The sequence below is a fragment of the Homo sapiens genome, chromosome 16, assembly GCF_000001405.40.
Source record: "Homo sapiens chromosome 16, GRCh38.p14 Primary Assembly".
In the NCBI taxonomy this organism is placed as follows: Eukaryota; Metazoa; Chordata; class Mammalia; order Primates; family Hominidae; genus Homo; species Homo sapiens.
The window spans coordinates 71383948-71409472 of NC_000016.10; the positions used below are offsets into that span (position 1 = coordinate 71383948).

General features: G+C 47.2%; 1 protein-coding gene across 3 annotated transcripts in view, besides 7 other annotated features; it reads left to right on the top strand.

Moving 5' to 3' along the window:
• Window positions 1-6486, top strand: part of CALB2 (calbindin 2) — a 31711-nt gene extending 25225 nt beyond the window's left edge. The window contains exons 7-11 of one of the 3 annotated variants that reach the window (NM_001740.5): window positions 23-78; window positions 392-431; window positions 836-889; window positions 1630-1701; window positions 5802-6486. In NM_001740.5, the coding sequence (NP_001731.2) occupies window positions 23-78; window positions 392-431; window positions 836-889; window positions 1630-1701; window positions 5802-5918 (339 nt within the window). In that variant the 3' untranslated portion in view covers window positions 5919-6486. The remainder of the gene's footprint in view (window positions 1-22; window positions 79-391; window positions 432-835; window positions 890-1629; window positions 1702-5801) is intronic. The other 2 variants (NR_027910.3, NM_007088.4) reach the window with 2 other exon arrangements.
• Window positions 2647-3197: an enhancer, noted in NCBI's record as "OCT4-NANOG-H3K4me1 hESC enhancer chr16:71420497-71421047 (GRCh37/hg19 assembly coordinates)". NCBI's record gives its function as "activates a minimal SCP1, AML or CMV promoter by ChIP-STARR-seq in naive and primed H9 embryonic stem cells {active_cell/tissue: H9 hESC(naive and primed)}" and the evidence as "EXISTENCE:reporter gene assay evidence [ECO:0000049][PMID:30033119]".
• Window positions 3198-3748: an enhancer, noted in NCBI's record as "OCT4-NANOG-H3K27ac hESC enhancer chr16:71421048-71421598 (GRCh37/hg19 assembly coordinates)". NCBI's record gives its function as "activates a minimal SCP1, AML or CMV promoter by ChIP-STARR-seq in naive and primed H9 embryonic stem cells {active_cell/tissue: H9 hESC(naive and primed)}" and the evidence as "EXISTENCE:reporter gene assay evidence [ECO:0000049][PMID:30033119]".
• Window positions 3198-4299: a biological region, named in NCBI's record as "hESC enhancers GRCh37_chr16:71421048-71421598 and GRCh37_chr16:71421599-71422149".
• Window positions 3539-3833: an enhancer, noted in NCBI's record as "tiled region #8646; K562 Activating non-DNase unmatched - State 22:ReprW". NCBI's record gives its function as "activates a minimal TATA promoter and a strong SV40 promoter by Sharpr-MPRA in K562 cells {active_cell/tissue: K562}" and the evidence as "EXISTENCE:reporter gene assay evidence [ECO:0000049][PMID:27701403]".
• Window positions 3749-4299: an enhancer, noted in NCBI's record as "H3K27ac hESC enhancer chr16:71421599-71422149 (GRCh37/hg19 assembly coordinates)". NCBI's record gives its function as "activates a minimal SCP1, AML or CMV promoter by ChIP-STARR-seq in primed H9 embryonic stem cells {active_cell/tissue: H9 hESC(primed)}" and the evidence as "EXISTENCE:reporter gene assay evidence [ECO:0000049][PMID:30033119]".
• Window positions 4568-4737: an enhancer, noted in NCBI's record as "experimental_43990 CRE fragment used in MPRA reporter constructs". NCBI's record gives its function as "activates a minimal promoter by MPRAs in K562 erythroleukemia cells, with activity observed for the introgressed 16:71422503 variant allele {active_cell/tissue: K562}" and the evidence as "EXISTENCE:reporter gene assay evidence [ECO:0000049][PMID:34662402]".
• Window positions 5483-6028: an enhancer, noted in NCBI's record as "H3K4me1 hESC enhancer chr16:71423333-71423878 (GRCh37/hg19 assembly coordinates)". NCBI's record gives its function as "activates a minimal SCP1, AML or CMV promoter by ChIP-STARR-seq in primed H9 embryonic stem cells {active_cell/tissue: H9 hESC(primed)}" and the evidence as "EXISTENCE:reporter gene assay evidence [ECO:0000049][PMID:30033119]".
• Window positions 6487-25525: the final 19039 nt, after the last annotated feature.

Consider the following 25525-nt stretch of genomic DNA (forward strand, 5'->3'; position numbering starts at 1 on the left):
GGCACCTTTCTGTCCCCAACAGCTACGGATGTTTGACTTGAACGGGGATGGCAAATTGGGCCTCTCAGAGATGTCCCGGTAAGCACCTCACCCCCGGGGTCACTGATACTGGCTCCCACAGGTCATTCCTGTGTTATCCGTCTCTGAGATCCATTGGTGGGAAAGTGACAGGTGCGGGTGTCAAGAAGCTCAAGACAAAGCAAGATAGAATTGTGACCGTCAACACCTCACCTTGTCTGTCTCCCTCGTTTTTGAACTTCCCACTGATTCATTATGTGTGAAGTGCTCAGAAATCATTTCTGTAACTGCAGGCACCGCCTCTGCCTTCCCCTCTCCCGCTTGCCCTTGCCTGTGCAGTCTCCTCATCTCTGCTCTAACATTTTCTCCCCAGACTCCTGCCTGTCCAGGAAAACTTCCTGCTTAAATTTCAGGTAAAACTTTGCTTTCCTTCCTTCCCCCTTCCCTCATCCCTCTGAGCCTGGCCCTGCACCCTCCTTCCCCCAACGCACCACACACAACACACTACACACACCCACACACACCACACACACACAAAACACACCACACACACAACACACACAGATCACACACACAAAACACACACAGACCACACACACCACATACACAACACACGCAGACCACACACACTACATATCACACGCACACACCCCACATACACAGAGACATCACACACACCACACAGACCACACACCACACACACAACACACACATCACACATGCACACACCACACACATAAACACACACACACAAACGCACACCCACACACACACCACTGCGCTTCTGCTTCTGTCTTTAATACCCTGGTTCTTGCAGGGCATGAAGCTGACCTCAGAGGAGTTTAACGCGATCTTCACATTTTACGACAAGGTAAGAGAGGGAGTTGGCATGGCAGGGAAAATCAGAAGCCCATCAGCCCGTCCAGAAGGGCTCAGCTTCATCCCTGGGAAGAGACAGCTTTCCAGGGGTGGCCTGGGCCGTGTGGTTTCTTCCTGCCGCATCTTCTGCTGTATGAGAAGGCAAATGTCATTCTCCACCGGTGGCCTATGGAGCCCAAGGGGTTGGTTTCTGCAGAGTGCAGCCGAGAATCGTTGGGGGAGGACTATGCTTAGAACTAGGGTGTGACCACGCTGTCGGGAGCCAAAGGGAAGAGACACTCAGAACTGCCCTGGTGCCAGATCACAATTCTGCCCAGGGCCAAGTCTTTCTCTGGGAAGTTGGAAGTTAGATGATCTCCATACCCACCCCTCCCTGGGCTGTCCCCTGCCCACATGACTCCGGTGGTTTTCTTCATAACCAGTGTTGGAGGTAAACTTTAAATAGCCCCCGGACTCAGGGAGTTAACCAAATGCTTCTTGAATCTCACTTAAATTTTCAACGCACATGAAAAGCACCACAATGAAAGGCTACCCAAAGCTTGCACCCACTGCCACCTTCCTGCCATGACTGGTTAAGGCAGAAGGGACACATTATTTTGTCATTACACGATCTGAACACCCCCTTTTGCACAGAGTAATGGAGAGGCTAGACTCTTAGACATCCCTGGAATGGGTCGGGACAGCAGGGGCCCAGGCTTTAGAGCTCTGGGTTGACTCTGCTCCCATCCCCAGGATAGAAGCGGCTACATTGACGAGCATGAGCTGGATGCCCTTTTGAAGGATCTGTACGAGAAAAACAAAAAGGTGAGCAGCCAAGCCTGAGGCCCGGCCACTGTCCCCAGGGCACAGGAGAGGCTTCTGCAGGAGAGGAGGGGAAAGGTGCCTGGTCCTGCTCTCTACTCCCCTCTGATCTGCCACAGCAAGGCAATAGACATTTTGTGGGTTTGCTTTTGGTTTTTTGATTTCTGGTTGGTTGGTTGATTAATTGATGTTTCTTTTTAAAATTTAATTGTGGCAAAAAACACAGGACAGAAAGCTTACCATCTTCACATTTTTAGTGTACAGTCCAGTGGCATTGAACATATTCATAATATTGCACATGCGTGGCCACCTTCTCATCCTGCAGCGCCAAAACCTGTACCCATTAAAAAATAACTCTCCATTCCCCTGTCCCCCATCTCCTGCCAACCACTCTACTTTCTGCCTCTGTAAATTTGACTGCTCTAGGTACCTCATGTAAAGAAAATAGTATAATCTTTCTGTGCCTGGCTTATTTCACTTTGCATAATGTCCTTGCAAGCTTATCCATGTTGTGGCATGTGTCAGAATTCCCTTCCTTTTTAAAGCTGAATAATGCTGCATCGTATAAATATACCACATTTTGTTTACCCATTCTCTTCTGTGGACGCTTGGGTTGCACCCATCTGCTGGCTGTTGTGGGGGATGCTGCTGTGAGGCCATGACAGTGTTGACGTGTGAAAGTGTTAGCCAAATTGCCAACCAAAAAAACACTTTCCACACAAAGAGAGATTCTGGAGGACAGAGGCCAGTGAGAGGTGAAGGGCTATTCTGGATTGATGAACTGCAGAATCGGGAGCTGGGGGAGGGGTTAAAAGGAGCCACTGAAGAGTTTGTTCCTCTCAAAGAAAAGGCAAAGAAGTGAACTCCATTATTTTGCCTGATGTTGCCTCCTGGGAATACCCTGGGAGACCCTCCCATGGGCTCAGTTTGGTGCACTGGGTGGAGGAGTCAGGTGGAACGGCAGCCAGGAGCCAAACCTTTGCAGCTGTCTTCGTTCACCGCCTGGAAAATGTCTTTCTCTGAGCAACTGGTTTTGCTGCTTTCTTTAATTAGACAATGAAAGCTCTACAATTCCTTGAGTTGTCTCACCGCCTTGGCTGACAAGCAAGAGCTAAATTTAATGCTCAATTTCAGGAAAAAATTATCTGCAGTCTCTATTCATCTCCCTTTCCAAGTGCTTTCTGATCTCTTTATCTTAAATATCATCCTTCATTTATTTCATCTTTTTTATTTAAATGTTACCTACAATTACTCTTGAAAGAGGCAGAAAATAAATGATAAGGAAGCAAATACTTCCTGGGAAGAAGGAAGTACTCACCAGGTGTTTGAACTTTTTTCTTGGCACTAAATTCTAGGAGAAAATTATGTATGTGCCCGTATGTATCCAAGGAATGTTGGGCACCATAGTGGAAAATACCTTTATGTGTAATTGTATGAATGAGGCATAGTTTGTCTTCATGAGACTCTGTCTTATACCTGAGGTGGATAAACCCTGAAGACATGCATTAAATCTCAGAGTGACCTGAATTTCCTGGTCATCAACTCACTAAGCTCTTCCTTGGTTCACACAAAGGACAGCTTGTGGTGCTGCACAGCTTGACTCCAAGTATGGAAACAAAAGTAAAGATTCTGCTGTTGGGATTCAGAAGCCACTCTGAAGGTCAGAGAGCAAGAATATTAACAAAGCTGTTTACCTGAGAGCCTTCCACCTGGACCAAGTTTCAGATTTGGCGCCTGAGGATTGAGAGAGTGAATGAGTAGAAAGAGAGAGCCGCGTGACTCTAAATCACAGCACCTGTGCTGGAACGGAAGGGCCTTTTTTTTTTTTTGTAAACCCACATAGATGCACGCATTCCATTTGGATGGTGCCTGCATGGAGTGTGATAAGGTTTCTGAGCAGATTAATGTTTGAGGCTCCTCGAGGGGACAGGCTGATGGGATTGAACTTCAGTATTTCTTAGCACTCCCAAGGCCATGGCAACTCACTAGAGCCTTCCCCAGTTTTAAGTGAAACTTATAGGAAGTAAGCAGCCCCTCCCCCATGCTGCTAAGTCTCTCGCTGCCACAGTTCACTGCGGAAGTTGTCCCAAGCTTGGGGTTGATAGATGAGGTCCCTTCCTTGGCTTCTGATTAAGTGGCAGATATCTCAGGTGCACGCCAGTGTTATGTGACATTTCCAAGAACATCACAACTTAGGGAAGGTGCCTCTCAAAGCTAGACATGCTTGCAAAGTGCCCTTGGGTTTTCATGGCACCAAACCAGAAATTAATGGCATAAAAAGAGAAGCCCCGGCACAATGGGAAAAAAAGACTGGCCCTTGAGCCCTGAGAAAGAGGTGACAGAATAGTGCACCAGTGAAATCATTAGACTTCAGGGCTCATGCTTGGATTACAGATATTCATGATTAGATTACAGATATTCATGAGCATGACTGTACCTCAGTTTTCTTATTAGCAGAATGGAGATAATGACCCATCAGCCTAGGAGGGAAAAAAATTTTAAGTATCTGCTAACATTTTCAATACAAAAGAATAAAAGAAGAACTGGATGTAGTGGCGCCCACCTATAGTCGTAGCTACTTGGGAGGCTGAGGCAAAAGGATCGCTTGAGCCCAGGAGGTCAAGGGTGCAGTGAGCTGTGATCACGCCATTGCATTCCAGCCTGGGTGACAAGAGCAAGACCTTATCTCAAAAAAAAAAAAAAAAAGAAAAAGAAAAAGAAAAAGAAAAAAGAAAAAAGAGGGATAGAGTGGGGGAGAAGGAAAGAAAGAAAAGGTTGTTTAAGTCATTTTCCAGTGTTGATGATGACCTTGCTATATTTCAGACCCATTGGTTATTTGTATCCGAAGCAATCATTGTAAAGCATGTATTTAACATCAGGCATATCAGGTGTTGGTATTTAATATGGGTCTCCATTTATATGAGACAATGGGCATATGTTCATGGCTCACCTGTCTCAGTGGCCCCTGAACACAAGAAGCCAGTGAACAAGAAGTAGGCTGGCGAGCTTTATTGCTGGAGAAGCTGGGATTTAGAATTCCTTGCTTAAATAGGGGCTGGGTGCAGTGGTTCACACCTGTAATCACAGCACTTTGGGAGGTGGAGGCGGGCAGATCACCTGAGGTCAGGAGTTCGAAACCAGCCTGGCCAACATGGTGAAACCCCCGTCTCTACTAAAAAAAAAAAAAAAGTGCAAACATTAGCTGGGCATAGTGACAGGTGCCTGTAATCCCAGCCCAGCTATTCGGGAGGCTAAGGCATGAGAATAGCTTGAACCCGGGAGGCAGAGGTTGCAGTGAGCCAAGATCACGTCACTTCCCTCCAGCCTGGGCCACAGAGCAAGACTCCATCTCAAAAAAAAAAAAAAAAAAAAGCAGACTTCCTTGCTTAAATAGGGGCCAGGTGCGGTGACTCACACCTGTAATCCCAGCTACTTAGGAGGCTGAGGCAGGAGAATCGCTTGAACCCGGGAGGCAGAGGTTGCAGTGAGCCGAGATCGTGTCACTTCACTCCCGTCTAGGCCACAGAGCAAGACTCCGCCTCAAAATAAAAAAAATAAAAAAAATTCCTTGCTTAAATAGATGAGACTTAGGAAAGAGTGGTCCAGGAGGCTAGAAGGCAAGACCAGGGAGCTTTCCTGGCATTCTCTTCATCACCTGCAGTGAGCCAGTTTGGCCTTGAGTTAACCGAGGCCCAGTGAGGTCGAGGAAATATATACAAGTCATACATAGATCATGACTGTCACAATAGCTACCTTTTATTTTTCAAGTGCTTGCTGATGTGGCTTATATTCATTCCCTCACGTAATCATCGCAACACCTCCATGAGGCATGAACTTTTAGTGTACCCATTTTACAGGTGAGGCAGCTGAGTCTCAGGAAGGTTGACTACCTTCCCCAAAGCAATGCAGCCAGTAAGTGAAAGAGAGGCTTTAACCTCCATCTGTCTGACTCCAAAATCCATGCTTTGCATTCATCTAAGCCACTTATCCTGGGATGAGATGAGAGAAAGGTGTGGGTGTTTGTGTTTGTGAATGTGGACGTGGGCTCCTTGCGTCGGGACCATCCCCTGAACCTGCTCTTACCCTCTCCCTGTATTTCCTAGGAAATGAATATTCAACAGCTCACCAACTACAGAAAGAGCGTCATGTCCTTGGCAGAGGCAGGGAAGCTCTACCGCAAGGACCTGGAGATTGTGCTCTGCAGCGAGCCCCCCATGTAAAGTGGGGACGGGGGCTGCTTCTCCACCTCCCCCAAACCCTGCTTCTGCTGCCCTGATGCGTCTACCCAGACTCAGAGACCGTGAGCGCCCCGCCCCCACCCCTACAGCCTGCACACACCTGCCTGCAGAGCAGGAAATGAGAGATAGAGGATGGGCAGCTGGGGGGCTGTCCTGAGCCCCCTGCACCCACCCCTGCCCAGGCAGTCTTTGCTCAGTGGATCACACACATGGAAGGTGATGGGGGCATGGGTGGAGGGTCCCTAATTCTCTTCGCTGTGATGCATGAGCTCCCTCGCTGTATGATTTAGGCTTCTATGTCCAACAGAGTGGACTCTTCCCTCTCGCTCCCCTCTGCCGGTCCCCCATGCCACCACCCACCCCAAACTTCCAGGTTCCATCCACCACCTTGCCAATGGTGTAGCTGTCCTCTCAGAACTCCTGTGTGTGGAAGGCACCCGCCCTTTCCTTGCCTTCTTTACTCGGCGTGCTCCTTTTCTCTTTGGGTTTCTTGTTTACCAAAGAAGAGTTTACAGACAATAAAATGGAAAGGTCCTGCTGTGGAAACTTACCCAATCTTGTCTAGTGGTCAACTTCTCTCTACAGTTAGCAGCTCTGCCTGACAAAGGGAGGGCCTATTCTCACGTGGATGGAGGAGGGTAATGGGACCCACCCAAGTGGGGCATAGGACCCCCAAGACTCTATGGCTTTCACTCACCATTCATTGCCTATCTCTTCACCAACCTGAGTCACTTCTTAGTTTCATGTTTCTTTCTATATCTCTGAGATTATAACATAGCTGACAAGTTCAATGAAGTCTTACTAAGGGTAGTATTAGTATTGTGCTCAACAGTTGACCTGGAGCATCTTTCTTAATCCTTTGAGAGGTGCTGTGATTGTCTCCACTGTCCAGGAAAGAAAACTGAAGATTAAAAAGGTTTTGGGCCTGGCATGGTGGTTCATGCCTGTAATTCCAACACTTTGGGAGGCCAAGGTGGGTGGCTCACCTGAGGTCAAGAGTTCAAGACCAGTTTGGCCAACATGGTGAATCGCCATCTCTATTAAAAATACAAAAATTAGGCTGGGTGCGGTGGCTCACACCTGTAATCCCAGCACTTGGGAGGCTGAGGTGGGCGGATCAAAAGGTCAGGAGATCAAGACCATCCTGGCTAACACAGTGAAACCCCGTCTCTACTAAAAATATGAAAAATTAGCCAGGCGTGGTGGCAGGCGCCTGTAGTCCCAGCTACTCGGGAGGCTGAGGCAGGAGAATGGCGTGAACCCGGGAGGCGAAGCTTGCAGTGAGCCGAGATCGCACCACTGCACTCCAGCCTGGGCGACAGAGTGAGACTGCGTCTCAAAAAAAAAAAAAAAAAAAAAAAAAGCAAAAATTAGCCAGGTGTGGTAGCACGCACCTGCAATCCCAGCTACTTGGGAGGCTGAGGCATGAGAATCGCTTGAACCCGCGAGGCAGAGGTTGCAGTGAGCCAAGACTGCACCACTGCACTCCAGCCTGGGCAACAGACTGAGACTCTGTCTCAAAAAGTAATTTAAACAAAACAGATAAGTAAATAAATACATAAATAAAAAGGTTTAGTAACGAGCCCTGGCCAGTTGGGGCAGAGCCAGGGTATGAATCCAGCAGATTGGATCCACTTTATACCAATGGGGTCCCTACCACTGGGACTAAGTGATCTCCACCAAGCAGGAAGGACCTCCAGCCAGAAGCTCTAGACCACCAGAACTTAACTTCTCCTCCTCAAAGTGCAAGTTACCCAACACCCGATCGCATGCCTCTTGGTGTAGGGCCAGCTTGGCCTTTGGGTTCACAGAGCTCTTAGATCCTACAATAGAGAGATGACAGATTTTTTTTCATGCTGTCACATATTGATTGTCTACAAGATGTATTTTAACAACACTACCTCATTTAATCTCACAACAATCCTACCAGACGGATACTATTTTCAGATAAAGCAACTAAGGCTCAAAGACATTAGGGGATGGGGTCGGGGGAAATTAGGGACTCAAATTTACTTGCCTCCCTCATGTCTCAGGGCCCTGTGCTTTCCCCCACTGGCACCCTTACCTTGGGGCAGGAGCTTTGCCTCTGCAAACTTGCAGCCCTTTTCAGTTCAGCCATATCTGCCGTTGGACCACAGGAGACGAGGAACTCCTTCCAGGCCATCCTAGAGGTCTTCTTAATCTTCATGTATGCTCTTAATTGTATATTTGTAGTTTTAAAAATTCTCAGTTGGTCAAGGTGTCTCACATCTGTAATCCCAGCACTTTGGGAGGCCGAGGTGGGTAGATGGCTTGAGCTCAGGAGTTTGAGACCAGCCTGGGAAACATAGTGAAACCCCATCTCTACAAAATATACAAAAAATTAGCTGGGTATGATGGCATGCGCATGTGCTCCCAGCTACTCAGGAGGTTGAGGGTGGGAGGATTGCTTGACCTGGGAGGTCGAGACGCTGCAGTGAGCCAAGATCACGCCATTGCACTCAGCCTGGGTGACAGAGTGAGACCCTATTTCAAAAAATGTTTTTCCTTATGCGTACTCTCTAGAGCCACAAGAATGATCCAGATGACCCCAAAATCTTTACATTCCTTTTGCTTGCCATAGGAACTAAGTACCACAACCATCTGAAGCCTCGGTCGGTGCTTTATCCTCTACCCACCTATTGTCCCTGTCCCTACCAGTGATCATTTGAGGATTTGTGATGCCACCACCTGTGATGAAAAAAATCCATGTTCTGTTTCCCTCTGACAAAGAGGCCATCCCTGTCTTTCTTGAATAATTTATCAACCCAACCCCAGAATATCCAGATCTTGTTTCCTAGGGCCATCTCCAGTACAAGTTACTAATTCAGTATAGATCCCAATAGAAAACAGACAGCACCTTCCATTCATATCATTCAAGGAGGATTTGTTCACAAACATCTTTTATATGCATGTGAGTGAAATACAAGGGACTCATAAGGGATAGTGGTGAACCAGGGACTAGTGACAGGGAAGTTGCTGTTACCACACTTAGGCCCAAAGGAATGAGAGGAACCCAGAAAGGAAGAGTTGTGCAGGGAATGTCACATGTTCTGTTCAAGCACACAGCCAAGCCCAGATTAGCTCTTATGGAGTAAACACATGCCCCCTCCTCCCTGCTTCCTTCCTATCTCCTTCTAGGGTTCCACATTGCCTGAAGCCAGAGGGCCAGGAGCCTACTAATGGAATCCACACAGGCCAGACTCAAGGGCAGAAAACAAGCGGGGAAGGGTGGGGAGTGATGAAGAGGTATAGCGAGGACACACCCAACACACTCAGAAACTAGAGACACCAGTGGGCACTGAATATGTGAACCTGAAGTTCTGGAAGATGTCGGGGCTAGAAATATGAATTTGTAAAACATCTGTGCAAAGATGGGTTTTAAGGTGGTGGGAATGGCATGAGATTCCCCCAGGAGATACTAGAAAGGAGGTCTGAGATAGGATCTCTGGGCCCTCCCATAGTGAGAGCTCTGGAAGGGAAGAGGGCACGGCCAGGCAGGCAGAGAGAAACCAGGAGGGTATGGTTTCCTGAAAGACAAGTGAAAAGTGGTGTCTGAAGATGAGGTAAGTGATCAAAGGTATCAGATACTGCTGAGATGTATGAGGGCTGAGATTTCAATGCCTGCTTATCTCCTTATCCAAGTCCTCCAAAAGGATAATGGGAACTCCTAGAGGTGGGGGCTGTGTTTTTTGAGGAGTGCATGGCCACAAGAGTGCACAAATGAATGAATGAGTGACTCCACCTTCAGGGAAAGAGGGCGGGTGTGAGTCTGAACTTAACTTGAGAAACCCTTTAGGGAATGATAAAATAATAACAGCTCCAAGAACCTCAGGACATGAGCCAGTCAGAATGTGTTACCTTTGCAGTAGTCAGGTCTTTGGAAAGTGACAGAAATCCAGGTACGACTGGCTCAGGCAAAACAGAGAATTAGTGGATAGAAGCTGGACTATCTCATATGTCTGGAAGGGCCTCCTGGACAACCTGAACTGGGAACACACATACTGCCAGGAGTCTTCTCTCTCTTATTTCTGCTTTGCTGTAACTGATGGCTTTATTTTCTCAGACTGATGTCTTCCATATGGCAGGAAACATGACCTTAGCTGGCTATATCCCCACCATCTAGAACGATGCCAAGCACACAGTAGGTGCTCAGTAAACATTTGTCACATGAATTCATTGGCTCAAAGCTACACATTTGGCAAAGGACTGTTTCTCTTCCCTTAGTTCTAGTTCAAAATGCCACAGAGGAGGAGCTGTAATTGACCCACCTTTGGTCACATGCTCACCTCTGACCAATCACTCATGGCCAGCAGGTGGGGTGACCCTCTTAGAATCAGACATGTGGGACAGGGGATGGGAATTCCAAAGAGTAGATGAGTGATCCAGTCCCCAGCAGGGAACAGTGGTCACCCAAGAAATCCCCATTTTACAACTGAAAAAAATCGAGGCCATCAAGTTCTGGGGAAAGTATCTTTCCCCAGATCACAAGACCACCCAGAAGGAAAGAGTTGTACAGAGAATGCCACATGTTTAGCTCAAGCACTGGAGCCCAGGTCTTCTTCACTCTTGGCCCACTGACAGTAGGAAAGGATTGAAGGAAGAAAGGGCAAGACAACAGGAATTAACATGTTAGAACTTGAAAACTTGGGGGAAGGGATGTTGGATGCATATGGAAGATGGGGTGCATATGTCAACACATGGACATGTATGTTAATGAACCTGCAGGAAGGGACAGGATGCCTATGTCAACATGTTGGCATGTATGTAAGTGAACCTGCAAGAAAGGACAGGATGCATATGTCAACACGTGGGCATATATGTAAACGAACCTGCAAGAGGGCCTGGGATGCATATGTCAATGCGTGCACAGGTACACAAGTAGCCAACAAGGGGTCTGGGAGACCACGCAGGACTGACGGTGGATGTGGAGGGGCACGGGATTGGGTGTGACACATAGAGTGAGACTGGAACTTCATCCAGAAGAAACCCTTCTTCCCAAGGCATATTTGCATCCTGTTGGAGTCATAACAAATTAGAAACTTCTCAGCCCTCCTTCTTCTAGTTCTGGGTAAGGGTTAAGAGAGAAACAGAGGGAACGGGGCTGTGTTTTCACTCTTGTGGGCCCTGGGCACTTTTGCTTTGGTGAACACCTTCCTCCATAAAAAGTATTGTAACATATACTGTATGACTGCATTGGTATAAAGACGAATATGTTGATATTCTTTACTAAAACATTTTATTCAACCTAAGATGTCATCTTTCCTCAGCTTTTAAAAAGAAATTAGGACATTTTTGTGTGTTCCTTAAAGTGGCCTGGGTGCTGAGCACTGCACTGACTAGATCTGATGGAGAAGACAGACCAGAGAGGGAGTGGCCATCACATTTTCGGGTGGGCTTTGGGTCAGGAGCCACACACACATATAGGCAGGGGCTCTTGTTGTTTTAAAGGTATAGTGGCTAGATGTAGTTCCTAGCTAAAGCCAAGAAGAATATGTGGGGTGACGGCGTCTCCAAGTGTCGTATCAGGAAAACTGGTCAGGAAATAGAAAATGGCCCAGCACAGAGAACCATGGAATCCCTCAACAGGGCTCCTCTTCTGATGATCAAAGTATTTTGGACCTTGACTTCATGCCCTGTTTTGTTTTGTTTCAGGGTAATTGGTGGCTAAAAGTTGAGCAGGTAAAAGCACACACAAAAAATATTAAAGACCAGTACAAGGTGATACCATTAGAACAGGTTTTGGGGTCACATACCCTGTGTTGGGTTCTCTCCTAAGCATATTCCTGGGGTTAGCTAGCTTGATCCTCATACCAGTCCTGTGGGAAAGGTACTACTATTGTCTCCTCTTTATAGAAACAGTGGCACAGATCAGCAAAGCAACTTACCTAAAGTAACACAGCAAGTCAGTGGTAGAGTCAGAATTCAACCAGAAGCAGTTTGATCCCATGACTTGTGTTCACAATGGCTATACTTTTCAGTACAGGGGCTGAATAAATAGTAGAGAGTGTTCATTCACCTCAGATATTCATTGAACATCTGCCACCATCTAGGCCCCAGGCTAGATGCTAGGGACACAGTAGTGAATGCAACAATCTCTGGCTGCTGGAAGCTTAAAGGCTGAGAAGAGGAAACTAGAAACTCAGTGTGATGATACTAGTGGGTTCAAAGAAAGCCCAGGAAGAGAGCCCTAACCTAGATTTGGAGTTGGGCTGAAGTCTGGACGAGGTGAGGAATAAGCAGAGACCTGGAAGTAATGTAGGATTTGGTCAGGAGAAGGGGTAAAAGGAAAGAAAACCATCTCAGGCAGTGATATGGTTTGGCAATGTTGCCACCCAAATCTCATCTTGAATTGTAGTTCCTATAATCCCCATGTGTCGTGGGAGGGACCCAATGGGAGGTAATTGAATCATGGGAGCGGTCACCCTCATGCTGTTCTGACAATAGTGAGTTCTCCCAAGATCTGTTATTTTACAAGGGGCTTTCCCCCTTTTGCTCAGCACTTCTTGATTCTGCCAGGTGAAGAAGGACACGTTTGCTTCCCCTTCTGCCATGATTCTAAGTTTCCTGAGGCCTCCCCAGCCACGATGAACTGTGAGTCAATTAAATCTCTTTCCTTTATAAATTACCCAGTCTCTCAGGTATGTCTTTGCTAGCAGCGTGAGAACAGACTAAATACAAGCAGGAAAAAAAAATAGCATCAACAGTGGCACCAAGGCCAGAGGTAGCCTGGCTCATGTCGGGGAACTGCAAGCCACTCAACCGAGAGGAAGCTCGGAGGGAGAAGCAAGAAATAAAACTCAAAGGGTAGCCAGGACCAGCTCACGAAGGGCCCTGCAGGCCTGCTGGGTCTTTGGACTTTACTCTTTTCCCAGCCTGCAGCGTGGCTCCTTTTCTCCTTCCAGGCTTGGCTCAAATGTCACCTCTCTCACTGAAACCCGATTAGGCCGCAGCCTTCCACCACCCTACACTCTACAACCTCCCCGGCCATATTTTTCTCCACAGGACGTTGACCATGTGAGACAGGTTTTGGCGGCTCCCCCAGTAGAAGCCCACAAGGGTGGCTGACTCATGTATTGCTCTTCCTGCCTACATCCACTGAACCCACACACCTAGGGGTACCTGCCCCTTTCAGGGCTCCCCCTCACCGAGTACCCCTCTCCTCTCCAGAACAATCAAGTCTCAGGGGCCAAGCAAGCTGTGGAGGGCTGAATAATCCCCACCAAAGCTGTCCGTGTCCTAATCCTGGGGCATGGTGAATACATGATCTCACGTGGCAGAAGGGAATTAAGGTTGCTAATCAGATGACCATAAAATAGGGGGATATCCTGGCTTGTTTGGGTGGGCCAATGTAACCACAGGGGCCCTTCTGTGTGAGGGAGGGAGGCAGAATTGTCAGGGTCAGAGTGACGCAATGGAAGAAATCCTCCACCGGCCATAACAGGCTTTGAAGATGGAAGAGGTGGCGTCTAGAAGCTGGAAAAGGCAGGGAAAGAGATCCTCCTCTGGAGCCGCCAGAGGGAACACAGCCCTGCCAAGACCTTGATTTTAGCCAAGTGAGATCCAGTTTGGACTTCTGACCTCCGGATCAGAAGATGCTGCCTCTACTTCTGGGTGTATGTTCTGCAGCTGCCCCAGGGCTCACAGGAACTCAGGTACTTCCATGTTTGGAAGTCCTTAGACAAGGTGCCTACTAGGTACACTCTTTCCTGCTTAGCAGGTGTGAATCCTCCGAACTGTATGCCAAGGGAGCAGCTGTGCTGAGCTGACCTGCACATACCAATCCCACAGTGAGGCAGAAGAAAAGCCGAAGAGACGGGGGCTCCAGAGACTGCCCAGAGGCCTGGCTCAATGTGCTCCGTCCTCCCCACATCTGTCCTTGGTTTCCACTCAGAGACCACAGTTGGCTGTGGGAAAATGGCCAGACATCTCATTTTGGATCTCAAGTCCCCCATCTGTAGAATGGGGAGCTTGGAACAGATGGCATCAAAGTGCCCTTCAGAATCTTACTTCCTAAGCCGTGCACGGTGGCTCACGCCTGTAATCCCAGCACTTTGGGAGTCCAAGGCGTGGATAACCCGAGGTCAGGAGTTCGAGACCAGCCTGGCCAACATGGCGAAATCCTCTCTCTACTAAAAATACAAAAAATTAGCCGGGTGTGGTGGCTCGTGCCCGTAGTCCCAGCTATTCAGGAGGCTGAAACAGGAGGATCACTTGAGCCTGGGAGGTGGAGGCTGCAGCGAGCCAACATCACACCACTGCGCTCCAGCCTAGGCAATAGAGCAAGACTCTGTCTCAAAAAAAAAAAAAAAAAAAAAGAATCTTACTTCCTAACCCTTTGATGAAGAAGATACATGAGTGGCAAACAAACACATAAAATATGATGAACATCAACAGCCATTAGGGAAATGCAAATTAAAACCGCAATGAGGTACCCCTGCATACCAGCCAGAGCCAAGTCTCATTTTAAAATGCTGTATTGCAGTATATAAAAGCAGAGTCCACTAAATTGTGGTGGGTTACAGAGAGCCAAAGAAGAGAAAAGGTTTCCTCTTAGAGCCTGAAAATAGAACATTGAAACAACATTAACAAGAGTTTAAAGAAATAACTATGATGAAATTCCCACAGCACCTCATGCAGTCCCATGAAATAAATTCTTGTTCCACTGGATCTTGGATCCGCATTCTCTGCTTTCATGAAGTCGTCTGCTTGTGGATTAAAAAAGAGTCCTAGAACTTAGATCTTCGGTGGCCTCATGTAAACCCAGCAGCCAGCCTCTTCTAGAACCCCAGCCCAGGGACTGGAGCAGGAAAGGGACCTTCAAAGTGAAGACTGCCTTGTCCTGCACCTCCTTCTGGCTTAGATTGAAAAATGGGCTTCCTAATGGGTTAAATCCTTTAAAACAAGGAGTTGTGGGGGAAGGGTGTCGTGCACTCCTAGAGAAAGGTACACAGTTGCCCAGCTGGGAATGTGCTTGGCGCTGACCCTGTGGGCATCCAACTGGTCTTCCAGCTCAGGAAAAAGAATTTGAAAGAGGCTTAGCATGAAGGGGAATCAAACAGGAGGTTGTGATTTGGTCGAAGGTGCCTGGTTTAGTGCTGTAATTGTCTTATTATATATATTTCTTGGAGTAAACATTTTAAATAAACGACATCATTGTCAAAAAAAAAAAAAAAAGAGTCCTAGAAATCCTGATTCAGTCCACTGTTACAATCTGAGAGCTGCTTAAGTGATATCAGTTCAGATGCCTTGCTCACGAGTCTATAAAATGCAGACAGTTGGAAGTATCTGGTCCAGTCATTTACCACCAGGCTCTAAAACTGTTCTTTTTCGTTGATGACACCAACTGCAGCCTGTAGCTTAGAGGAGAACCTTCAAGCAAGCATCAGAGAAAAGCAAACACTATCTGTAGATGACAGAGACTTCATAGCTGTGGTTTTTTTTTTTTTTTTTGAGATGGAGTCTGTCTCTGTCGCCCAGGCTGGAGTGCAGTGGTGCGATCTCGGCTCACTGCAAGCTCCGCCTCCTGGGTTCACACCACTCTCTGCCCCAGCCTCCCGAGTAGCTGGGTTACAGGCGCCCGCCATCATGCCTGGCTAATCTTTTGTATTTTTAGTAGAGACAGGGTTTCACCGTGTTAGCCAGGATGGTCTCGATCTCCTGACCTTGTGATTCGCCTGCATCAGCCTCCCAAAGTGCTGGGATTACAGGCGTGAGCCACCGCGCCCCGCAGCTGTGGTTAATTGATTACTATAACCAATAATGTCAGAATGGAGGAGAGTAAACTTCTCTCTCAGGTGGTATCCATCAGTAAACAAGGAGGCAAGCAGATTTTACTAAAATGTAATACATTTCATAGTTTCTTTCCAGAATCAGGTATCATAAAACAACATCAATAAAATTCACTTTCCAAATTTTGTCCTTCACAGTGCCCTTTCATATTCTAAAACAAACTGACAATTAAGACAGGAATTCTGCGAGGTCGAAACAATTTTCATAATAATGCCAAAATATTACTTATGTTACCATGCAATGGGTCCATCACTGCTATTTTCAAAAGAATTCTTTTAAACTATTTCACAACAGTCTGGATCTGTGTTTTTCCTGAGGGTGAAGTTCTGCGTGGTGAGGGCATTGACAAATCGCCAGGGACTTCCCATAAAACACACATTTTCTAAAATATTTAATAATTCATTAATAACATTTTGTCTACATAACTTTAACCTGGGGAAGGCTGAGCATCTCTTCCAATCTGACAATTCTTCTCATGTAAATCTTATAATAGGAACGCAATCAAAGAAACCTAGCATCTCTCTTCTCATAAGGTGGAAGAACAAATCTCGGCGATTTTCCAACGCTCCTCTGGGAAATTATTGTAGGTGTAAAAGATATCCCGAAAATTCCTTTTCATTTTTTTTTTCCTGTCTAATTTCGCAAGGCAACATCTAAAGAGTTGTCAGAGATTTAGATGCTTGATTAATATGTGCTCATGGGTGGCTGAGAAACAATCTTTGGTGACTCATTTAATTAAGTGATAAGAAAGCATTTAAAAATGAACAGACCCAAGAGTATTGAAGATATACGTCCCCATAAAAACTCACACACAAATGTTCCTAGCATCATTCATGATAGCTACAAGTGGGAGCAATCTAAATGCTAATCACCTGATGAATGGAAAAACAAAATGTGGTATACCCGTACAATGGAGTGTCAATCAGCCCTAAGTGGAACGAAGCCCTGATACATGCTCCAACATGGATGAACCTTGAAAGCATTATGCTGAGTGAAAGAAGCCAGACATAAAAGACCACGTACTGTACAATTCCATTTATATGAAATGGCCAGAATGGGAAAATCTACAGAAACAGAAAGTAGATCAGGGGTTGTCAAGGGGTTAGGGGTGGCGAGAGAGTAACAGGAAGTGTGTGCTAATGAGCGTGGGCTTTCCTTTTGTAATGTTCTAGAAGTAAATGGTGGTGCTGTTTGCAAACCCTAGCGATATACTAAAAACCATTGACCTGTACTCTTTAAAAAGGCGAACAAGATCTCAATTTCTTAAAAAGCCTATGCACGCATGAACTGCAAAATAAGTAAAATAAACAAAGAAGCATACGTATAGCTTGTTCATGAGCAAGGAAGTTTTGTTGTGTCCTATTCTAGGGCATTACAAATTAAACATAAAACACTATAAAGTATTCTGGTATGACACAGAATCTTTGCTATCCAGAATAACCGTTCCTGTTCTAGGCAGTGGTATCCATCAGTAACCAAGGAGGCAAGCTCATGAAACCACAGCAGATTTTACTAAAATGTAATACATTTCATAGTTTCTTTCCAGAATCAGGTATTATAAAACAAAAAGAATAAAATTCACTTTCCAATTTTTGTCCTTCACAGTGCCCTTTCATATTCTAAAACAAACAGTTAACTAGGACAGGAATTCTGTGAGGTCAAAACAATTTTCATAATAATGCCAAAATGTTACTTATGTTAACATGCAATGAGTCCATCACTGCTTTCCTTTTTTTTTTTTTTTTTTTTTTTTGAGACGGAGTCTCAATCTGTCACCCAGGCTGGAGTGCAGTGGCGTGATCTCGGCTCACTGCAAGCTCCACCTCCCCGGTTCACGCCATTCTCCTGCCTCAGCCTTCTGAGTAGCTGGGATTACAGGCATGCACCACCACCCCCGGCTAATTTTGTATTTTGTATTTTTAGTAGAGATGGGGTTTCTCCATGTTGGCCAGGCTGGTCTCGAACTCCTGACCTCAGGTGATCCACCCGCCTCGGCCTCCCAAAGTGCTGGGATTATAGGCATGAGCCACCGCACCGGGCCCATCACTGCTATTTTCAAATGAATTCTTTTAAGTGTCTCCTTTCAATTTCTAATGCAGTAAACATCAATAGCATTAGCCCACATAAACAAAAGCTCTTTGGGAAATCTCAGTAAGTTTTTAAGACCGTAGAAAGGAAGGTCATACCTTAAAATGTAGCATTGATTGAGAAAGGAAGGAGGAGAAGAAATACAGAATGATACCATCTATGTGAATTAAAAGTGCCTACATGCAAAACAGCCACAGTGCTTTGTTAGAGCATTTTTCTAAAGGCACCCAAGACAAAGAGGAACGATGCCTGCAGTGGGAGAGGGAGGCCTAGGAGTGAGAAATCTCATTCAAAGGGAATAAAACAAGAGAGGGACCTCACAGAGACCCCCTGATCGTGACCTACCATGTACTGCGGAGTGTGCTTAACTCACCCTCTGCATCAGAGGCTTCCACCCTCCCTCCCACAGAACAACAGCCCCCTTGGTCCCCTGCCCTGCTGCAGCTGCAGTTCCCCAGGACAGAGCTGACGCCATCCAGAGACCCTCCCCTGGGCTCCCAGCATCATCTGGGAGGATTTTCTCCAGCAAACCCACACAAGGTGAGGAGCAGGGGTGAGTCTGTCACCAAAGGAGCAGCATTGCAGGATAGGGAAGGCCAGTGGCGAGGCGAGCACACTGATCAGAGGCCACTGACATTGACTAAAGGACTGGGTCAGTTGCAGGCACAGAGCGGGAGCGCTGGCCAAATGGGAAGCACGACAAGCAATGCAGACGCAGGCAGAAGGAGACAGAAGTGGATGGCAGGACTCACAACACCCTCTTCCTGGTAAGGGCACATGTTCAAGGTGCATGCATTAGACAGCCCTGTACCCAGGGTGATGGGGAGGGAGGAACAATGAACCCAGCAGCGACACACGAAGAAGCCAGCATGAGGGGCCAGGAGCCCAGAGAAGAAGGTTCTCCAAAGGCACAGAGCAGTCACAGGGTCCAATCCCACCGACACTGACCGAAGGGCACATGCTCCTTCACTTTAAGCCAGCAATGGAGATAAACACTCGTCATCAACACCAAACGACTTCCCTGGTTTCTGTGTAACCAGCACTCCTGTCCGGAAACTTGCTGCTTGTCAAAGAAACACACCTTACTGTCATACGGTGCAGCTGTGACATTGCTCAGATGACATTTTTTTGTCACGAGCTGTCATATGACAACTTCTTTTTTTTTTTTGAGCGTTAGTACAGGCTGTGCATTGTGCTGTACTCACACCCAGGGGTAAGGTGAGGAACAAAGGCAGCCCAACCCCTGCCCGCACACATGAGCCCCGTCTGGCGAGATGGCAAAAAATCACAGCAATGCTCCTGCCCTCTGGAATCCCACCCAAAACGCCGGCCTCTCATCCTATCCATCCCCTTTGGTAAGCAAGCCCCTCTGTCTCCACTTTGTCATCTTCCCTCTATCCCCCTCTGCTCTCTCCTCAAGCCCAGCCTCTGTCTCAGCCAAGCTGGTCCCCGTGGCCTTCATGGCCCCCAGCAATTGGCCCAGGACAGGCTTCTGCCTTGGGACTGTCCTCTTTGGGACCAGGGAAATGATTTGCAAGTCCCAGTGCTGAGAGAAGATGTGGGGCCTTCTTCTTCAAAAGTCATTAGACATTAAATGATTAATAATCATTTAATTAATAATTAAGGCAGCAGCAGAGCATTAAACCAAGCTCAGGGCCTGAAGCCAGCCCTGCCCCATCTTGAATGTGGAGACAAGAGTTTATCTCCAACCTGGGACCCATTAACATGTCCTGTTGTGAGCAGGGGACGTCGTCAGCCTCATCACTAACTGCTCTGAAAGCAACCTAGAATCTCATCAGCTTCCCCGAAGAGCTTGCTGAAATTCATCAGAACAGAAATTGCAAACTGAAATGCAAGGTGAAGGAAAAGCAAGGGTTTTAGATATGAGTTTTAAAAATTAAAGTTTTAAAGAGTCCTGCCTGACCACAGAGCTATACCCTAAATCCCAAGAGCCCTTGGCCCTGCTGCAGTTGTCCTTGGTCACTCAAGGCAGGGACGGTGGGATAGGATGGAGGGTCAGCCAGGGCTTGCTGTGGGCACCCAGAGGGCAGAGGCCTAAGGGCTGTGAGCTGTGCCCAGAGACACCACCTTGGGGAGAGACGCCTCACTCACCAGGCGGCCCTGGGAGTCCTGGAGGAGGAGGCCGCAATGGACTCCCTTTCCACTGTGACTTTCCTTAACCTCTGGTTTTATGAAAATCACGGAAGTCAGGATATTTGCTCAGAAAACAGGATATTTAATCAAGAACCAAGTAGTTCAAAGCATGGCCACAGTCATTGTTAAGAAGCTGCAGAGACACAGGCAAAAGTATGGCAGGGGAAAGAGATGGCCCAAGAGGGCAGGGAGGCCACACATCCTGGAGAGGAGGCCCCCTCACCCAGAGCATGTCTCAACTGTAAGATACAATAAATCTTTCTGAGTTTCTCTTCAAAAGGTTTAGCCTGTTAACTTCCTTATCCTTTGTTCTCAAACTCAACTTTGTTTTTCCTTGGCCCTAGTTACCGTAAACAGCCTAATCCTTCCCATCAGCTCTAATCAATAACTCACATCTGTTCCCTTGGTTACCTGTACCAGTTGTTCCCCAGAAACTGCACGTCTCACAAGCTCCACCTCTGTACCTCATGTCCCCCTCCTCTGCTATATTTAGGAAAATATGTACAAGTAGCCAGTCGGGTCAGCTCAGATTGTGTGGTCCAACCCCAGCTCCTGGGGGAGTGACACAGAGATAGGGACTGTGTTAAAGATAAAAACCCCCTGGTCTCCTTTGTTCTGTGTGCACTTGGGATCTTGATTGACACAAGTGACACCCTTCTGCAGAAGTAAATTGCCTTGCTGAGAGGATTAAACTTTTGCCTGCGTGTGGTTTTACTTCCCGGCACTGAGCATTTATTCCTGGAGTATTTTATATCCAACACAACCAATGAGAGACAGGAGCTGGTGGGTCAATACCCTAATTTTTGGTGCCATTTGCTATCACTCACTGCCCTCATCTTGCCTGCCTCACCCTCCCCAGCATCCAAAGCACAAGTCAGAAAGCAGTTGAATCTCAGGGTGAGAACAAAGTCTGACACATCCATTCATGATGAACCCAGAGGGCAAAACACTGTCCACCGTGGTTTAAAAGAGGCAGTCCTCTTCCCTTCCAGATGGAAAGAAGAGGTGTCACTGAGCCACAGCCGGGAGAACAAGGGAGGCCCAGGTACAGCCAACGCTCTCCTGAAAATTCAAGAGGAACCTCACACAAGCCTTCAGGACGCCGTCTACAGCAAGTCATGGTTCTGCAATGCAAACAAAGTCAGGAAGAAAGAGGGAGGTTTGAAAACAATGCGGCCTTCCAGGCCCGAGTGAGAGGATGGGTCAGCCGGGCAGGAGTGACCGTGTAAGTATCGCAGCAAAGGAGGCTGAGTGCTCCCTGCATCAAATCAATGCTCATCTGGATAATGAAAGTACACCCTCACAGGCCTCCAAGAAGGTCACTGGCAAAACGTCCCACTGGTGGACAGACACCTGATCAGCAAGGGGCAAGAGCAGAGGCTGCTTGAAGAATCTAAAGCAAACAAACAGAAAATCCAAGACCTGGATAAAAAGTGAGAAATACAAGAAAGGCCTGACACAATTCCAAGTTGCATTCTGAACAAGAACACCACAAACCCCTTTTCATGGCACAGGGTGTTAAAAGAGCTCTTGCCAGCCGGGCGCAGTGGCTCACGCCTGTAATCCCAGCACTTTGGGAGGCCGAGGCGGGCGGATCACGAGGTCAGGAGATCGAGACCATCCCGGCTAAAACGGTGAAACCCCGTCTCTACTAAAAATACAAAAAATTAGCCGGGCGTAGTGGCAGGCGCCTGTAGTCCCAGCTACTTGGGAGGCTGAGGCAGGAGAATGGCGTGAACCTGGGAGGCGGAGCTTGCAGTGAGCCGAGATCCCGCCACTGCACTCCAGCCTGGGCGACAGAGCGAGACTCCGTCTCAAAAAAAAAAACAAAAAAAAAAAACAAAAAAAAAAAGAGCTCTTGCCACAGAGTCACTTGAGACACATTTCTGGGCAAATACACAAAGGAAGAGAGACTCTTCAACCAACTGTGTCCCTCCAAACAGCCCTGAGAAGTAACAGTCATCAGAGACTTCCCAGAAGATACCCTCGACCACCAGAGTTCTGGCCCTACACCCACATGGGTGAGGTCTTCCTCCCACCACCAACAGCCAACCTGTGAGGTCTTTCTCTTTTTGCTGAAGGGGCCCAGTGTAGACTGGAGGCCTCAAGACTAGTTCCTAGGGCCATCTGAGGCCTCCAGTGCAGTACCTACCTCCTATTAGATACAGCTGAGGCCCCACCAATACATACAAGAGACCCTTCTCCTCTAAAGAGCTGGGCATCAGAGGCTGCCCATGGTTTCCATGATTTCCATGATCACACCATGACAAGGGAGACCACCACCCACCAGGAGGAATTCCTAAGCCTCTTCTTCTTCCCACTTAGGGTTCTTCTTAAACCTTCTTGAAAAAAACACAATCTGTGCTTTCCCTAAATAAGGACTTCCTTTTGCCTGAGCAGGTATATGCAGACAATAATCTGAGGTTTGAGATTAAAAAAAAAATCTTTTTGACCACTGTAAAAGACTGCCACCAAACTATTTCCTCCCACCACCAATCACGAGCCAAGCCACAAAGTCCTCATCCCTCACTGGGGAGCTCAACCTCAACTGGGGACTGCGCCTGCTGGGGAAGCCCCTCCACTTTGTCCCAGGGCTCACCTGGGGTCTCTCCTGACCTTGCATCTGTGCTTTGCTGCAACCTTCACTTCTGCAGGTAAGTACACAAAAGGTACCGTGTCAAAGTATCAAAGAGGAACCAACCCGGTTCCCAAAATGATGGCGAATCCAGTGTCAGCCCAATCAACAGCTCCTCAGCCTCCCTCCCTGGTTCTCCTGAGTTAGATTCAGGAGACTGGGGTCCCATCTGTGGAGGCTGGAGGCTGGACGTGCTTCAACATTGGCTATGCTGTCTGTATACATAGCAAATGAGAGGACTCAACACTGCTAGGATAATCTGCACCACAATCCTCTGTGCAGCGTGCCTGGCTTTAAGAGAGGTATCCTTGGAGGCGTGTTTGCAATTGACTCCAAATCTGAAACCCCAGCACTGTGACCACAACACTCACAGGAAACCAGAATATCTGAAACGGTGATGACTTTCCACACTGATTTGGTCTCATCATGCTGCAACCGACATTCTAGTATCATTATTTAGAGAGTCCGGGGATAATAGCCACCTCTGCAGAGAGCTTCTTCAATGCCTTGAAAACAGCCAGCAGCATTTCTACGGTGCACACACCTCGCCCAATTCTGGACATCTCCACCTATGTTACCTTTTTCTGTGGCACAACCATGCTATCGCAAGGTGCTAATTGGAATCTTAAGCACCGAGTTCACAGGACCAGCTGCACAAATGATGGCCCAGGTCTACATGATCAGAAAGGAGGCTCCAATGGCCATGCCCAACACCATTGAGACGTTTGTCCTAGAGCTCAACTCCATGCTGATTCTTGTAATAGAAAGATATTCCATGTGATACCTGGGGCCATCAACCAACTCAGGGCAAAACTAGAACCTGCTTCTCTACGCCAAGGCATAGAGGCGCTCCTTGTTGTACCAGCTGTGTTTCCAAAGCTTGCTTCTGGTGCTCTGTGTCATTCCTGGGACAACCTCAGCAAGGAGGAATTATTATGCTGCTAAACTTGTGACTGAAGGGCTGCTCCGAAGCAAGCTCTGGAGACATTCAGAAAGAAAGTTTCTCCAAAATCTGGAGGAACATTTCTCACTCCAGAGCAGCAACACTTCTGTGAATTGTATGGAATTCCTGGGGAGATTTTAGAGCAGGTGTATAAGAAGCCAAACAAGAGAAGAGCCGAACCATCCATAGAGGATGGTGCAACAAAGCAGCAGCCAAAATCAGTGTTGGAGACCCTCCTCACATCCGGGGTGCCAAAAGGAGGTGCCCACCCACTCCCCAGGATCTTTTAGGCCACCTCCTAAATAGTGGAGACTTCAAATGCATCCAACTCTTCCACCTCTGTCTCCTGCTGGTCCTTCTCCATAAGACCCTTCTCTGATCTTTCCTCTGAATGAGGAACTACTAATTCTGAGGCTTGTGGTTAAACAGAAATGTATTCACCACAAATGAAGATTATCTCAAGATCTTGCTCCCCACAAAATTAACTGTTTCATTTTAATTGTAGCTCATATTTTAATAGTAAAGGACTGAAAGGTTTATGTTGCACTTAATGCTCTCAAAAACCTTTAGGGTGTTTGTTTGTTTGTTTGTTTAGAGACAGGATCTCACTCTGTCACCCAGGCTGGAGTGCAGTGGCACAATTATAGCTCACTGCAACCTTGAACTCCTGGGCTCAAGTGATCCTCCCACCTCAGCTTCCTGCATAGCTGAGACTACAGGGGCATGCCACTGGGCTCTGCTGAATTTCGTTTCTTTTTTTTTTTCCTCTCTTTTTTTTTTTTTTTTTTTTGTAGAGACAGGGTCTCACTATGTTGTCCAGGCTGGAATCCTTAAGGTTTGCATAACGAGAAACACAGTAAGAACCAAGTTCCAGTTGATCAGGCTGCCCTACCAGATTAAGGAACTCGTACTTTATATCCAATGGGGCTGCAGTTTGGAAGCCCTGTAGTCGTCGACTTTCCCTTTAAGCAGTGCACAGAAATAGGAAGAGATCAATAAAGCCCAGAAGAGAAATCTTGCCAAACTTCAACACAGCAAATAACAACCACTTATCGAGGGCTCAACTCCACTAGGAACATCACAAAGCAGCAGTTCTCAGTTGGGGGCAATTTTGTCCCACTCTCACCTCCCCAAAGACATTGAGCAATGTCTGAAGACATTTTTTATTGGTGAAACGAGGTGGGGATGGGGTGGAGGGTGCTACTGGTATCTAGTGGGTAGAGCCAGAGATGCTGCTAATCACCCTGCAATGCACAAGTCAGTCCACAACAACAAGGAATGATTTGGCCCCACATGGCAAGATTCCCCAGGTTGGGAAACTCTGGTATAAAATAAAGGCACCTGAAACACGCCCCTGACCCCAACCCCAGGCATCCAGTCTTTATGTCATGATCCCTCTGAACATCTTAGTTAAGCTATTGCCTTTGCTCCTAAGGGAAAAAAAAATATTTATACATGCATACACAGAAACAAAGCTTTGCAATTTTGGGGGGCAAGGTGACAGAGCAGGGGCCTTGCCATTGTGGACAAGCACCTTATTTTAAAATTCATCTTAATCAAAAACCGCCTAAAGCCAAAAGGCATCAGCCTAATGGCTAAGGTCGGCATGACCAGAAACTACAAATAACATCTCCGACCAGAAACATTCCAAACTCCTCCCCAACCAGAGACATGCTAGCCCCAAGATAACCCCCCTCTGGCTGGGAAGATGCCAGCCCCAAGATAACTAACCTCCCTCCTGCCGGAAAGACGTCAGCCCCAAGATAACCTCCTCTCTGCCCAGAAACATTCCGACCCGGCTATAGACTTCTCCCTGACCCAAAAACATTCCAAGCTTGTGATAAGACCCTCACCCTAAAACCAATATATACTTTTAGTCTGTAACAGAAAGCGCCCCTGACCAAAATCGGCCAGAAGCCCCTCCAGGTTTTATCTAAAGTAAACCTGTCTTTAAAAATT